This window comes from Homo sapiens, chromosome 22 (genome assembly GCF_000001405.40).
Source record: "Homo sapiens chromosome 22, GRCh38.p14 Primary Assembly".
Taxonomy (NCBI): Eukaryota; Metazoa; Chordata; class Mammalia; order Primates; family Hominidae; genus Homo; species Homo sapiens.
Genome location: NC_000022.11, coordinates 32,190,188 through 32,205,392, shown reverse-complemented (window position 1 = coordinate 32,205,392; position 15,205 = coordinate 32,190,188). Strand labels below are relative to the sequence as shown.

At 50.3% G+C, this 15,205-nt stretch overlaps 1 protein-coding gene and 1 long non-coding RNA gene across 16 annotated transcripts in view; one reads left to right on the top strand and one right to left on the bottom strand.

The window, feature by feature from the left end:
* Window positions 1-278, bottom strand: part of SLC5A4-AS1 (SLC5A4 antisense RNA 1) — a 68,501-nt gene extending 68,223 nt beyond the window's left edge. Inside the window, exon 1 of the long non-coding RNA NR_149072.1 lies at window positions 146-278. This is a non-coding gene — a long non-coding RNA (SLC5A4 antisense RNA 1). The remainder of the gene's footprint in view (window positions 1-145) is intronic.
* Window positions 279-319: 41 nt separating this feature from the next.
* RFPL2 (ret finger protein like 2) lies at window positions 320-14,955 on the top strand. 15 transcript variants are annotated; one of them, NM_001364982.2, is made up of 6 exons: window positions 320-686; window positions 2,843-3,060; window positions 9,189-9,302; window positions 10,995-11,048; window positions 12,201-12,491; window positions 14,041-14,955. In NM_001364982.2, the coding sequence occupies exons 3-6, from the start codon at window positions 9,296-9,298 to the stop codon at window positions 14,619-14,621; spliced, it is 933 nt and encodes a 310-aa protein (NP_001351911.1). In that variant the 5' UTR covers window positions 320-686; window positions 2,843-3,060; window positions 9,189-9,295; the 3' UTR covers window positions 14,622-14,955. The 15 variants fall into 15 exon arrangements, with proteins under 15 accessions (NP_001351911.1, NP_001381483.1, NP_001351912.1 ...); NM_001394554.1 differs by having other exon boundaries at window positions 10,903-11,048; NM_001364983.3 differs by having other exon boundaries at window positions 320-900; window positions 10,903-11,048.
* The last annotated feature ends 250 nt before the right edge of the window (window positions 14,956-15,205 follow it).

The following is a 15,205-nucleotide window of genomic DNA, read 5'->3' as shown; positions in this document are numbered from 1 at the left end:
TAGCGCCCCCACCCCACTCCCCTCAGCGGGCAGTGACGCCCGAGGTACCACACTCAAGCAGCCCCCCAACACGGGCAGTGACGCCCTGGATAGGGCCCCCAACCCGCCCCCCACGCCACAGGCAGTACGGCCTGGGATAACGAACCTATTCTGCCACCTTTTCACCATTCTGGCTGCGCTGTAGTCACCCTCGCGGCCACCAACCGCAGCAGCGAGGTGAGCCACTGTAGGCTCCAGCCTCCAGCATGCGCGGTAGATGACTCTAGCCTCTGGCATGCGCGGCAAGTGGCTCCTCCTCCTTCTCCTCTAAGCCGGGCACAGAGCAGCTACGCAGGCCGACGCAGATGAGCCTGGAAGGGCAAGCCACCCCTCTTGGCATCCTTTATATACTGAGTTTAATGCAAATGAAGTTTCTCGACTACATAGTCTGATCGGATGAGAGAAACCTCTAGGCCTACTCTGATCGGGCTTTGTTATCTTGTTCTGATTGGTTATCCTAAGACTTGCTGTCATCCAGTCAGAACGTGAAAATAAAGCACAATCAGAGTAGACCTAGAGGTTTTTCTCTCATCCAATCTGAACATGTAGTCCAGAAACCTTACTTGCATAACCTCGGTCTGTGGGGGGAGGGGTTCTTGCCATTCCAGGCACTTCTGCGTCTGCCAGCCCATCTGCTCCATGCCCAGGTTAGAGGAGGAGTCACCTGTCCCACGCTGGAGGCTTGAAAGCCTGCAGCAGCATGGCTCGGCTCGCTGCCGTTGGTGGCGGTGAGGGAGACTAGACCGCAGCCAGAATGTAGAAAGGTGGCGGGGTGGATGAGCTATCCAGGGCTCACTGCCTGCGGCAGGGGGCGGGGAGGGGGACAGGTTGGATGCACGATCTGGAGCTGCACTGCCCGAGGTGGGAGCGGGGGCGGATTGAGGGCGCCATCGTGGGCTACAACCCGGTGGTGGGAGGCGTGTTAGGGGCAGTATTGGGTGCTGCACTGCCTACAGCACGGGAAGGTTGGGTGCTTTACCGGACGTCATTTCCCGCAGCCGCGGGGTGGCTTGCTGGGGGCGCTATCCGTGGCTGCACTGGTCGCGCTGGGGTACGGGTTGGGGGCGCTATCTGGGACATCAGTGCGCATGGCAGGGAACTTGTTGGCTGTGATATCCGAGGCGTCACTGCCCTTGGCTGGGGGCTGGTTGGGGGCTCTATCTATGGGCTACACTGCCTACAGCCAGGAGCGTGTTGGGGCGTTATCGGGGCGGACTGCCAGTGGCGGGGGTGGGGGTGCGGGTTGGGTGCTATCGGGGGGCTTCACTGCCTGGCAGGGAGTGGATTGGGTGCGCTATTTGGGGTTGGACTGCCGGCGGTGGTTGACTCGGTGGGAGGAGAGGGGCAGAGGGAATGGGTTGGATGCACTATCGGGAGCTACACTGCCCGAGGCGAGGGGGAGATGGGGGCGCCATCGTTGGCTACACCGCATGTAGTGGGGGGCGTGTAAGGAGCAGTAGTGCGTGTTGCATTGCTCATGGCGGGGGAGGGTTGGGTGCGTTATCCCGGGCGTCATTTCCCACAGCGGCGGGGGTCAGTGGAGGGGCTTGTTGAGGGCGCTATCCATGGCTGCACTGGTCGCTGAGGGGCAAGGATTGGGGGCGCTACCTGGGACATCAGTGCCATGGTGGGGAACTTGTTGGGTGTGTTATCCGAGGCATCACTCCCCATGGCTGGGGGCTGGTTGGGGGCGCTACCCATGGGCTGCACTGCCCACAGCCAGGAGCGTGTATGGGACATTATCGGGGGCGGACTGCCAGTGGCTGGGTGGGGAGGCGGGTTGGATGCTATGTGGGGTTGCACTGCCCAGCAGGGAGTGAGTTCGGTGCGCTATCTGGGGTTGCACTGCCGGCGGTGGGTGGCAGATTGGGTGCCCTATCGCTACACTGCCGCGGCGAGTACCGGGTTGGCGGCGCTATCCTGGGCTACACCGCCGGTGGCGGGAGGCGTTTTAGGGGCGCTATCTGGTGCTGCACTGCCCGCGCAGGAGTTGGGTTGGGTGACCTACTCCAGGCGTCACTGCCCGAGGCTGGGGGCTGATTTGGGGCGCTATCCCGGGAGTCATTTCCTGTGGCGAGGGGCTGGTTGAGGGTGGTATCCGTGGCTGCACTGCCCACAGCACAGAGCGGGTTTGGGGAGTTATCCCGGGCTGCGCTGCCCGTGGCAGGGGGCAGGCTGCCAGCGCCATTGGGTGCTGCATGTACTAGGCACGGATGAGTTAGGGGCGCCATCTGGGACTGCACTGCCGGTGGCGGGCGGTGGAGGTGTCAGTGACAGCGGTGGTCTGCAAGAGAGGAGCGGTCCTCCTCTTCCCGGCCACCTCCTCCTGTTCTTGCTCAAGTGCGGCGGGCGCACAGCATTTCCTGAGCGCGGCAGGGGCCCCAGCCCCGTGGTGCTTCCTGGACCCGCCTCCTATTGCTCTGTGTTGCAGAGACCGCCTGGGACCCCGGGGCACGCAGTAGTGGACACGAGGAGGCTACAGGGCCCTGTGGGTGGAGGAGGCATCAGGAACGGGAACCGGCACTTGGGTGGGGAGGGCTGGCTGGGGTTGAGTTTCTGCTGCTCCTGCTTCCCGAGGAGTGCAGCCAGGGTGGCTGCAGCTGTTCCTGTGGAGTGGGAAGCCCGGGCACTGTGGTGTCTGCAGTCCCCACTCCAGGCCGCAGTTCCTGGCCAGCTTGCGCTAAAAGGAGAGGCTGGACTTTGAAGTGTGGGTGTGAGTACCTTCGCTGAAACCGGCCCCTGCCACCCAGTGGCCAGCATGACAAGGTGCGCTCTAATGTTACCACTCTGCATCCTGTTCTAGGCTTTTCTGGCTTTGTCTGCCCGGATGCCCAGTGCCCTGAGAAGGAGCTACATGCCACGGGCTGGAGGCTAGAGCCTGTGGCACCATGATTTGCCTCCGATGGAGGTGGCTGAATTAGGCTTCCCAGAGACTGCAGTGTCCCAATCCAGGATCTGTCTATGTGCTGTATTGTGTGGCCACTGGGACTTTGCAGACATGATGGTGATAAGGAGCCTGAGGTGAGAGACAATTCTGGGTTTTCCGCATTGCTCCAGGGTGGAGTCTTTATAAGGGAAAGAGGAAGGCAGGAGGAGGGTCACAGTGAGAGGAGGAGATGTGGGGATGGAGGGAGAGAGAAGGAGAGGGGAGTCCAGGGAGAGGAAGACAGAAAGTGGGGGGAGAGAAGATCAGGAGAGAGATCTGAAGATGCTGAGCTCTGGCTTTGTAGTTAGAAGAAAGGGCCAGGAGCTGGGGGCGTCCTCTAGAAGCTGGAAAAGTTCTGGAAATGGATTTGTCTCAGAGCCCCCGGAAGGAGCCCGGCCCTGCTGGCACCCTGATCTTAGCAGCTCAGGCCTCATTTTGGACTTCTGACTTCCATACCTGGGAGAGAATAAATGTGTGTTATTTTAAGCCACTAAATTAGGGGTCATTTGTGACAGTGGCCATGGGCAAGTCAAACAGGAGCCGTGGGAGAGACTCACCCAGGATGCCCCTCGGCCCCTCCCTGGCCCCACCCACAGTGACACAGGCCTGCTGCTGCTGATGCCCCCAGTTTTCTAACTCCCTACAGAGCAGGGACAATGCAAGAGGGGCTGGGTGGGGCTGGGCTATGTTCTCTGTCTCCACACCTTCCTCTCAGAGAGCAGCTGGAGCCCCAGAACCTGGGAGCCTCACAGAGAAAGTCCTGATGTGGGACCTGGTTTTCCACCCGAGACCCAGGATCCAATAAAGAAGTGTTTCTATAAATGATGCGTCCTCCAAAGAAGGCCAGTGACTTTCTGTGCCAAGTACCTGAGAGAATCGCCATGTCCTAGAGCTGCCAGGCAGCTGTAGGTGCACTTACAGACACAGGTCACCTGTGCATGTGTCAGAGACCAAATCCCATCAATATTGAGGCCTTGGTTAAGACGGGTCCTCGCTTTTAGTTGTGAAAACATGCCTGGCTTCAACATTGAGAAAACCAACTCTCCTTGACCAAATGCTTTGCATATTCTCATAGAAATAAGGGAACACTTGTCAGGCACAGTGGCTCACACCTGTAATCCCAGCACTTTGGGAGGCCGAGGCAGGCAGATCACGAGGTCAGGAGATCAAGACCATCCTGGCTAATATGGTGAAACCCCGTCTCTACTAAAAATACAAAAAAATTAGCCAGGTGTGGTGGTGGGCGCCTGTAGTCCCAGCTACTCAGGAGGCTGAGGCAGGAGAATGGCGTGAACCTGGAAGGTAGAGCTTGCAGTGAGCTGAGATTGCACCACTGCACTCCAGCCTGGGCGACAGTGTGAGACTGTCTCAAAAAAAAAAAAAAAAAAGGAAATAAGGGAACACCTATTACCCTCCTTGCACTGTTTCCTGCGGAGCTCAGATACTATCTTTCACAAGCATCCTGAGCCACCTGCCGGCCTTTTGTGTGTGTTTCCGTCCTGACTTCCTCCCAATTTTTTACGCCTCTGAACCTGCTGTAAGGTGAAGAATCGAGGCGGGCCCCAAACGTGAGACCTCATGAATTTGATGGTGCTGCAGTGTCCTGGACAGCCCGGCTTTCAGGGCTGGGGAGCTGGGCAGAGAGAAAAGAGGGCATTCCAGGGGTCAGGGGCAGTGGAGCACCAGGCCAAGAATAGGATTTCAAGACTAAAGAAACAGAGGCCGTGGTGGGTGGGTAGACAGTCTTGACCAAGGTAGGGACAGAGGGTGCATCTGAAGGTTCAGCCAGGGACAGCTTCATCCAGGAAGGAGGCAGCAATTGGGGGCCAAGCTGCAAGGAGGAAGAGGAGAGGAGAGAGAATGGAGAGAGAGGTGTTCAATGACCAAATGCATGGCCTGGCCTGTTTCCCCAGGAGACACCCCTGGGAGTCTGGGAGCCTCTCCCCCTGGGCTACTATCCCACTGGGTGCCAGGAATCCCCCCTTACACACACTGAGAACCCAGGGTGAGTGTCAAATTATATGTTAGCTAAGAAATGAAGAGAGGGAGCAGGATTTCTGGTTGACAGTGAGGATATTTATTAAGGGTTTCCTGGGTGCAGGGAGAAGGGCTGGATGATTTGGGGTGGGAGGGGATCCCTGTTCTGGGATCCTGCAGCTCCAGGCCCCCATGGGTGGGGCGAGGGTCAGGGGCCTAAGAACATTCTTCAGGGGCCACTGTCTTCTCCACAGCGCTCTCTTTGTGTGTGACCCGGCAGCTGTAGCTGCTGCGGGACCTCCATTGATGGGGTGTCAGGCTCAGGTCGCTTCTGGCTGTGTACTTGTTGCTCTGTTTGGAGGCCTTGGTGACTTCCATACCCTGGGTGACAGGGGTGCTGTTTGCCTTCCAGGCCACCGTCACAGCTCCCGGGTAGAAGCCACTCATGAGACACAGCAGTGTGGCCTTTTGGCTTGGAGCTCCTCAGAGGAGGACGGGAACAGAGTGACCGAGGGGGTGGCCTTGGGCTGGCCTGTGAGTGGGCGAGCGGCAGGAGGTCAGCATCCTGTTGTGTACCTGGGAGCCCCCTGACCTCAGTGTATGAAGAGGGGTCAGGCCCCCTCAGTGCCAGTGCAGGACCCCTCAGACATGGTCCACAGTGTCTCAGAAGGGTGTCACACAATGTTCCTAAAACAAATCTCTGTCATTCAGGGAACCTCTGAGCCTGTCCCCTGCCCATCACCTGTTCAGAAAACCTTTCTAGGCCCTGGGCTTTTGTACAGACAACAGACCCTCAACCGCCTGCCGCTGCCTGCCACGCATCATCCTGACGCAGTCCGGCTCTGGCTGTGTTCTCTGAGCTCTGTGAGCCTCCTGTTGAATTCAGTCTGGGAACTTTTCTCACCTGACACAGCTGCTCTGGGTTGGGAGAGAGTGAGTCTCTCACCTAATAGCTCTGTTTGCTCCCAGATCAGTCTCTCCTGAGCCTCTGCAGTGGGGTCAGGGCCTTTGCTCACCCAAGTCCCACTGTCTGTCCAGGGTTCTCTGTCTGTGGAGTCCGGTTAGAGACCCTCTGTGTTTAGGTCTTATCTACAGTTTTTCTGCCTTGGGATCTGCCTGTCAGATTTGAATTCAGGAGTTCTTGGTTCTAGGGGTGCCTCCCACAGAGACTCAGCATCCACCTCCACGAACAGCATGTCCTTCTGTGACCCTTTGCCCGGCTGCTTCATGTCCACAGCCTTCCCCTCTCTCCTGACTGGGCTTCCTGAGTCCCAGGCCAGCACAGAGCTCTCTCCTTGGGAGCCCACGGAAACCTGGAGAGGGCCCTGCACCTCCTACCTTGTTCCTAGACTGGATCTGGAGTCCCACAGCCCAAAGGACTAGGCCCTGAGACTCTGATTTTTCTTCCCCAGTCTCGGCTTTAAGGGTTCCAGGTCCTTCTAAAGTCTTGCAGGTGGTCACTCCCTCAAGCCTCTCATTCTCTCTTCTCCATGGGATGAGGCCTCAGTTTCCCCTGCATAAAGCTCATTAGGCAGACAAAAGCCCAGACGGGGGAGGACAGAACAGAGCAAGTTTTAGGGAAGCAACCTGGCCCTGACAGACAGATGGACAGACAGATGAACACCTGTGTAGGTCACCCGGCCTAGTGCCGTACCTCTGAGGTCAGAGGTGAAGGGGTCACGGTGACCCACTGAGGCAGGGATCTGAACAGGGAGGGGAGAGGTCTTTGCCCAGGGCCCGGGCTCCTCCAGGGTCTTTCTCCCTGGAGAAAGCTTTACCACAAGCCAACACGAGATACAGAAAAGAAGAAAAATAGAAAATTTCTCAGTACCTTCGGGAGAGCAGGGAAGGAGAGGGAAGAAGAGACTCACCTAGGACAGTCAGCCGGGTCCTCCATGAAATACCCCACACTGTGACACAGGCTCATAGAAAATCTACTCCCTAGGACCCCCTACGCCCCCCTCCCCAGCCCCCACTTGCAGCCGTGATTCAGGAAAGCCAAACCACTGACCCCGGTGGGCATTTGCTCAGCAGAGAGTCCACACATACCTGCCTGCCCTTCTCAAGCTGAGATGGGACAGCTGACCCCATGCATGCAATGACAGGACATCTGGAAATGCAGAGGCCAAGGAAGTTTGTGTCTGGATCAGGTTTTCCCTTTGACTGTGGCCCAGGAATAGGGGGAAGGAGCTCCTTGGAAGGCATTTGCTTCCCTAAGGAGGGAAGGGGCATGGAAAGGGACAGGGATTCTCTACACTACAGGGTTGTTGTAACCCTGATCTCTTGGTGTGATCACAAAGCAAGAGCAGGGAGGCATCCTCAGGTGTCCCCAATGCCCCAGAGAAGGGGCAGCTTGGCCCAGAGTCAGCAGCCGTGGGAAGGTCCAATCTGACCACAACCACAACTCCAGGGGTCTCCCTTCCATCCTCCCTGGTGTTGTCTTAGTTTGGGATGGGTCTTGCCAGGTACTAGTAAGAAAGTCCAGCCTCAACCTCCAGGGAGAAGTTGGAAGCAAGCCCCTATCACCCTCTCAGGGTCTCATGTTCATTTTGGGTGTGTTTGGAGTGTCTGACTCAAAAGGACTATGTAAGTAGCAGCCGGAGTGTGATCTCTAAATCCCACTTCCAACCCAAAAGTCCATCAATGATAGACTGGATTAAGAAAATGTGGTACATATGCACCATGGAATACTATGCAGCCATAAAAAAGGATGAGTTCATGTCCTTTGTAGGGACATGGATGAAGTTAGAAACCATCATTCTGAGCAAACCAACGCAAGGACAGAAAACCAAACACTGCATGTTCTCACTCGTAGGTGGGATTTGAACAATGAGAACACTTGGACACAGGGTGGGGAACATCACACACCAGGGCCTGTCGTGGGATGGGGGGACAGGGGAGGGATAGCATTAGGAGATATACCTAATGTAAACGACGAGTTAACGGGCGCAGCATATGGCACATGTATACGTATGTAACAAACCTACATGTTGTGCGCATGCACCCCAGAATTTAAAGTATAATAATAAAAAAAAATGAAGTAAAAAAAAAGAAAAAAAAAAGAACTTGGCTTCTGGACTGTGGGTGTGAGGAAAGAAAAGCTCTTTGCAGCCAGCACTGTGCCTTTAACCACCCTCTGGGTCAGTCCCGGGCTATGCAGGGTAGGCATTTTCCTGGATATGTGTATGAGAATGATTTCCTTTTATAACATTAATGATGGGACTCATATCTTTACATTCACTAAGATTTCTGCTGCAGAGCCACTGTGCCCATTTTTTGCTTTTGCAGATTCAATTATCAATGACCAAATCTTCCTGAGTATCTGTCCTGTGATTAATCTGGGCATTGACAAACCTATAGTTTCTCCTGAGCAGGGCAAATAAACTTTTAGCCACAAAACTATTTAGACAGTTACTTTATGCCCAATGCTAGAAACTTTTCTGCTTGGTACAAGATAATGGAACAAAGTTACAGCAGAAAAATATGGAACATCTCAAACCATGAATGTCAATTAAGCAGATTAATAAGAAATTGCCTTTTAAATACTAAAAAGTAGTGTTACAGTTGTCCTTTGGGTTTTACGGACTGTGGCTCCGTGTCCCTCCCACACCTGTCCGAGTGGCTTTTGCTGGCTCTCTGTGCCCTGGCTGCCTCACCCTGCACTATGCTGCTGTCTCATTGACATCACATCTCTTCTGCAAATCTATCTTGCTGTCTGTTCCTTCTTCCCTGGAGCAGCTGAAAGGATCATCTTGTGAATTTGGTTCTTTTCATAAGTCATTCTCACACTCTTTACATTGTATCCAGCCTGGTTTTGGCAGAAAGTTTTTCTCACACAGAGGATAAACCAGGACTGGACTCTGTCTTTACATGTGGATGTGGAGTGACCCAGAATCCAGCAAAGAGCAAACCCCAAATGATTGCTTTATGACCGGATCCAATTCATTCTAATCACGTAAAGTTAACCTGGCTCCCTACACACTGTCTCCCAAGCCTTGTTTTCTTGCTCAGACACTGAATCCCGAGGAGTGATCTCATCCCACTGTAAATCATTTTTTAATAGAACTAAATGTAGGTCTTTTAAAAATATATATACAAAGAAAAAAATCTTCATTTAATATGTGATACACTTTAGGAGAGGGAAATAGATTATATTCAAGTTATTTGAAATTTGAAAACAAAGCTGTTATTTTATGAATTAAGTACAAATTAATCACTAACCTGGCCATTTCCACGATACCTGCAGATTCATCACTTCTCTGGGTCAAGACCTGAGTCTCAGCCTGGAGGACATTATGTTAAGCAAAATAAATCAGGACCAGAAAGATAAATACCGCATGTTCTCACTCCTATATGGGAGGTAAAAGAAAAATGCTGAGCTCACAGAAGCAGAGCATAGAATTGTGGGTATAGAGGCTGGGAGGGTAAGGGGCAGGGGAGCTTGGGGAGAGGTTGGTTATTGGATACAGAATTACAGCTAGATGGGAGAAATGGGCTTTGGTGGAGGCTGGGAAGGGTAAGAGGGAGGGGAGCTTGGGGAGAGGTCGGTAATTGAATATAAAATTACAGCTAGATGGGAGAAATGGGCTCTAGCACAACTGTGGGGTAAATATGGTCACTTATACATGATTGCATATTTTCAGAAAGTTAAGAGGATTCTGAAGGCTCCCATCACAAAGAAATAATAAATGTTGGCCGGGCGCGGTGGCTCACACCTGTAATCCCAGCATTTTGGGAGGCCAAGGCGGGCGGGTTACCTGAAGTCAGGAGTTCAAGACCAGCCTGGACAAAATGGTGAAACCCCGTCTCTACTAAAAAAAAAAAAAAATTAGCCAGGCATGGTGGCACATGCCTGTAATCCCAGCTACTCAGGAGGCTGAGGCAGGAGAATTGCTTGAGCCCAGGAGCCGGATGTTGCAGTGGGCCAAGTTTGTGCCACTGCACTCCAGCCTGGCTGACAGAGCAAGACACTGTCTCAAAAAAAAAGAAAAAAGAAAAGAAAGAAATGTTTAGAGTGTGCTAATTATCCTGACTTGATTATTATACATGCATGTATCAAAATATTACTGTGTGCCATAAATATGTACAATTATTACATGTCAACTGAAAGTAAAGAGGAAAAAAAAGTAAACCAAAACAAGACCTGAGTGTCTCAGAGTCCTCTAATCCCATGAGGAATCATATTTAAAGCTGACCAAAATTAGGTCTTTATTTTTAATTACGCAAAAAGAGAAAATTCCTTTAATATGTGCCAAAGGGATAGGGAAAATGATAAGATTATATTCAAATTATTTGAAATTTGAAAACAAAGCAGTAAAGATCCCACTACACAGAAAGGCATGAAGACGAAAAGATTCGGGGTTGATTCAAATGGAAGAAAGCACAACTCACTTCACGGGTAACAATTTTTATTTGAAAACACAGGTTTCACAAGAAAATCATCTTTTTTTTTAAATTGTGACTTTTATCTTAACACTCTGTGAAGTACTCAAGGTCCAAGAAGCTTAATGGTCATTTGTCAAAATAGTAATTATCTAATTTTTTCCTATGAATTATGAAATTTTTTCAAAGCCGGAAATAAACCAATGGAAACAAATAAAAAGTACCTAGAATTTCCTCAATGGAATGCCTGCCCTTATTACCTTTGAGTCTGATGTATATGAATTTAAACCATTTTGTAAAATTGCAAATCCAATCACACTTAATACTTTAGGATTCCAAGCAAAGCTTGAAGCCTACAACATATTACAGGAATTATCTTTACTGACAACTGATGGAAACATCTCTAAAATAAGCTTTTGAAGTTAGTACATTAAGCCTAATTTAATATAAAGGCAATTTAATCTTACCTTCATATGAAAGAAAAATACACTGTCAGGATGAAGGATTTACTGAAGTTATAATTAACTGGAGATATATCACCAGTAAAAACCTAATTCCCTGTTATAATTAAATCAAAGCCTCATCAGGTTAGAGGGTGTGGAAGGGCGTGACCCAGTGGGAGGTGGGAATCTCACCAATAAAAGGCCCTCGTGTGCCCCTTCCCCACAAGACCTGAGCGCCCAGTGGAAGCAGCTGGAGGACAGAGGAGCTTCCAGCAGAAGAGGTGAGCCCATGCCTGTGTGTGTGTTTTTCCTCTTAGATGCCTAGAAATGGGGGTTATGACTTGGGGGGATGAATGAGAGAAATTCGTAATTAATGAATTCAACAAAGGCCGTCTGAGTGCTGCCTCAGAGTTGGAAACCAGTCACCCTGGATCCCCAGTCTAGGAGTGTAAGAGTGGTGGCAGTCAATTTGGTATTCACTTCCAAGGCTGGAGAAGGATGTAATTTTTTTTATTTTTTTATTTTTTTATTTTTTGGTGAGACGGGTCTTAACTCTGTTGTCCAGGTTGGAGTGACTTGGCGTGATCTCTGCTCTCTGCTAATTTTTGTATTATTTGTAGAGACAGGGTCTTCCTGTGTTGCCCAGACTGGTCTCAAACTCCTCGGTTCAAGGGATCTTCCTGCCTCGGCCTCGCAAAATGCTGGGATTACAGATGTGAGCTACTGCATCCAGCCCCTCTTTTTTTTTTTTTTTTTTTTTTTTGAGATGGTGTCTCACTCTGTTGCCCAGGCCAGAGTGCAATGGCAGGATCTCGGCTCACTGCAACCTCTGCCTCCCAGGTTCAAGTGATTCTCCTGCCTCAGCCTCCCAAGTATCTGGGATTACAGGCATGTGCCACCACGCCTGGCTAATTCTTTTGTATTTTCAGTAGAGATGGGGTTTCCCCATGTTGGTCAGGCTGGTCTCGAACTTTTGACGACCTCAGATGATCCACCCACCTTGGCCTCCCAAAGTGCTGGACAGGCATGAGCCATCGTGCCCGGCCTCCCAGCCCCTAATTCTTATGTTCATCAATCAGTCTCTTGCTGGGGTTCCCCTAGGAGGAGGTGAAATGACCCCAGCTCGCTGTTCCTCACATGGGTGCTGCCATGTCACTGGCTCAGGCTCAGCTGCTGGGTCACCAGGAGAATGGACGCTTCCTCCACCTCAGCTCAGAGCACAGTGATGATTCGTGACTTTCCCAATAGAACTTCAAATCTCTGAAGACGGGGGGTGGGGGGATGTGCTTGAGTGTTTGTACTCATGGTCTTATTCTCGGAGTGACAAAGCTGGAACACAATACCTCTATGCATGAAAAGGTTGTCACTTGTCACAACTAACAGGCTTTCACCTCATGGAAATTTTTTTACCTTGTGTACTTTTCCCCTGGCAGTGGACATGGCTGCACTCTTCCAAGAAGCAAGCAGCTGTCCCGTCTGCTCAGACTATCTGGAAAAACCAATGTCCCTGGAGTGTGGATGCGCCGTCTGCCTCAAGTGCATTAATTCACTGCAGAAGGAGCCCCATGGGGAGGATCTACTTTGCTGTTGCTCTTCCATGGTCTCTCGGAAGAACAAAATCAGGCGCAATCGGCAGCTAGAGAGGCTGGCTTCCCACATCAAGGAACTGGAGCCCAAGCTGAAGAAGATTCTGCAGATGAACCCAAGGATGCGGAAGTTCCAAGGTAAGGCATCTGTATACCCTGCCCCCTTCCCAAGACCAGACCAGGAAAAATCATTTGTGCAGTTGGCCCCTCATTCCACATGGGGATTAGCTGCTGTCTGGCACCTAAAATTGAGATGCTTCATCATCAGATTCTCAGCCCTGACAACATACAGAATCACCTGGTGATGTCAAAAACAAAAACAAACAAAAACCCGATGTCTATGTCATGGGTTAGACAAGGGATTCTCTAAACTTAGTGTGCTCAGATTACCTGGGGATCTTGTTAAAATGCAGATGCTGAACTGGGAAGTCTCAGGATTGATCCCACTGGCTTGGGGACTTTGCTGAGTAGCAAAAACATAGAGCAACTGAATTTGAATTTCTCTCTAGCAAAGGTTCCCAGGACTCTAACATTAAAATGGGCCTGGTAATTCTAATGCACGGTGAATATTGGCACCCATTGTACAAACAACCTTACCCCAGGGTTGGGAAGAGTTGGGAATGGAGCACCTATGGTGTTTGTTTCTGTGAGTGTGGGGAGAGTTTCAGACAGTGTTCTCCTCATCCATGCGCCATGGGCTTCAACAGTGGTCCTGGCTACAGAAAATACTATACATCTCTATAACTCTGGAGAAAAGGGACATTTACATGAAGAGATTATGGTCAGCCTGGGCACAGAATTACACCTATAAATGGTGGTGGGCCCCTATGATGTCCCCGACACTGGTAGCTTCTGCCCTGACACCCACGATCTCTACTCTTCCACCTACCCAAAACTGACTGTCTCTCTGCTGAAATATGGAGGACAGATTCACCCTGCCCAAGTCATGTTTGGAACCCTCTTCCTCCTTCCTTATCCATGTCCATTCATTTCATTCCCTAATTCACCATCAAACAGCAATCAATCTCTTCAAGTCTTACTGTAATCTATAAAATCTATATTGGTGATCATATCAGTTTTTTGACTTGAAGGATCATATGTTCTGTAGATTTTTTTTTTTCAGAATGTTCTGGACAATTAATTTTCTCTAGGCCAGATCACATTGCCTCCTTCCTCTGTCATCACACCGTCAGCTGCAGAGATATTCCATCTTCTGTCAGAACTGTACACGATTAATTTGTTTACAAACATGGAAAACAAAGGCCTGGACTCATGCTCTAGATACTATTTAAATTGAAGCAAAAAAATGTGGAAACAAACATCATTTAATATCGACCACTTGCATTGTCTTATCATTTATTTGTTCATGCATCAAGGTGGTAGAAAGGGGGGCATGGTGTCTGCCTTCAAAGACCCTCCACTCTAAACGAAGAAAAGGCCAATGAAGCAAACACATGACATAAAGTAAAATAAGAATTGCTACTGTGAATAAGGGTCAGGTATTGCCACAAAGCATACCTATGAGAATTTGAACTAGTCAGGGAAGTTACCTCATGAAGTTTGGATTTTGGGGGAAGAAGAGAATTAAAGAAACTAAAGTCAAGAGATATTTGGGCCTTTGAAGTAGAAGAGAGGCATAGGGTTGGTTTCTGTCCATTTGCTGAGCAACTTTTTTTCCTTTTCACAGTGGATATGACCTTGGATGCCAACACAGCCAACAACTTCCTCCTCATTTCTGACGACCTCAGGAGCGTCCGAAGTGGGCGCATCAGACAGAATCGGCAAGACCTTGCCGAGAGATTTGACGTGTCCGTTTGCATCCTGGGCTCCCCTCGCTTTACCTGTGGCCGCCACTGCTGGGAGGTGGACGTGGGAACAAGCACAGAATGGGACCTGGGAGTCTGCAGAGAATCTGTTCACCGCAAAGGGAGGATCCAGCTGACCACAGAGCTTGGATTCTGGACTGTGAGTTTGAGGGATGGAGGCCGCCTCTCTGCCACCACGGTGCCGCTGACTTTCCTCTTCGTAGACCGCAAGTTACAGCGAGTGGGGATTTTTCTGGATATGGGCATGCAGAACGTTTCCTTTTTTGATGCTGAAAGTGGTTCCCATGTCTATACATTCAGGAGCGTATCTGCTGAGGAGCCATTGCGCCCATTTTTGGCTCCTTCAGTTCCACCTAATGGTGATCAAGGTGTCTTGAGCATCTGTCCTTTGATGAACTCAGGCACTACTGATGCTCCAGTCCGTCCTGGGGAGGCCAAATAAGCCCTCACTCCAAAAAAACAAAAAACAGGGTAAGAAAATTACTTGGGTGGGTAGACTTAGGAACGCTCTACTTCGTAAAAGCATTATACAAAGTCACGGGAGAAAAATATGGGACATTTCTTGATTGTACTTAATCTAATTTGATTAGATTATAGAGTCCTAAGTATTAATTATTGCCACCATCAAACTCATTGAGTCCTATGGTTCACATCTTGTTTCCTATAGAAATGTCCTGTATTCTGGGATCAATTTCCAAATGCTTTACTTTTTTATTTCTGCAAGTTCAAATTAATGTATTATAGAAGTTATGAGTTAAATAAAGATTGGAATATCACCTAATGGATTATGTGACTTTCTTTCCTCAGCCTCCTGAGTAGCTGGGATTACAGGCACCCACCACCAACCTCAGCTAATTTTTTGTATTTTTAGTAGAGACAGGGTTTCACCATGTTGGCCAGGCTGGTCTTGAACTCTTTACCTCATGATTCACCCGCGTCGGCCTCCCAAAGTGCTGGGATTACAGGCATGAGCCACTGCACCCAGCTGGATTATGTGATTTTCTAAATGATAGGAGTGCAATATAT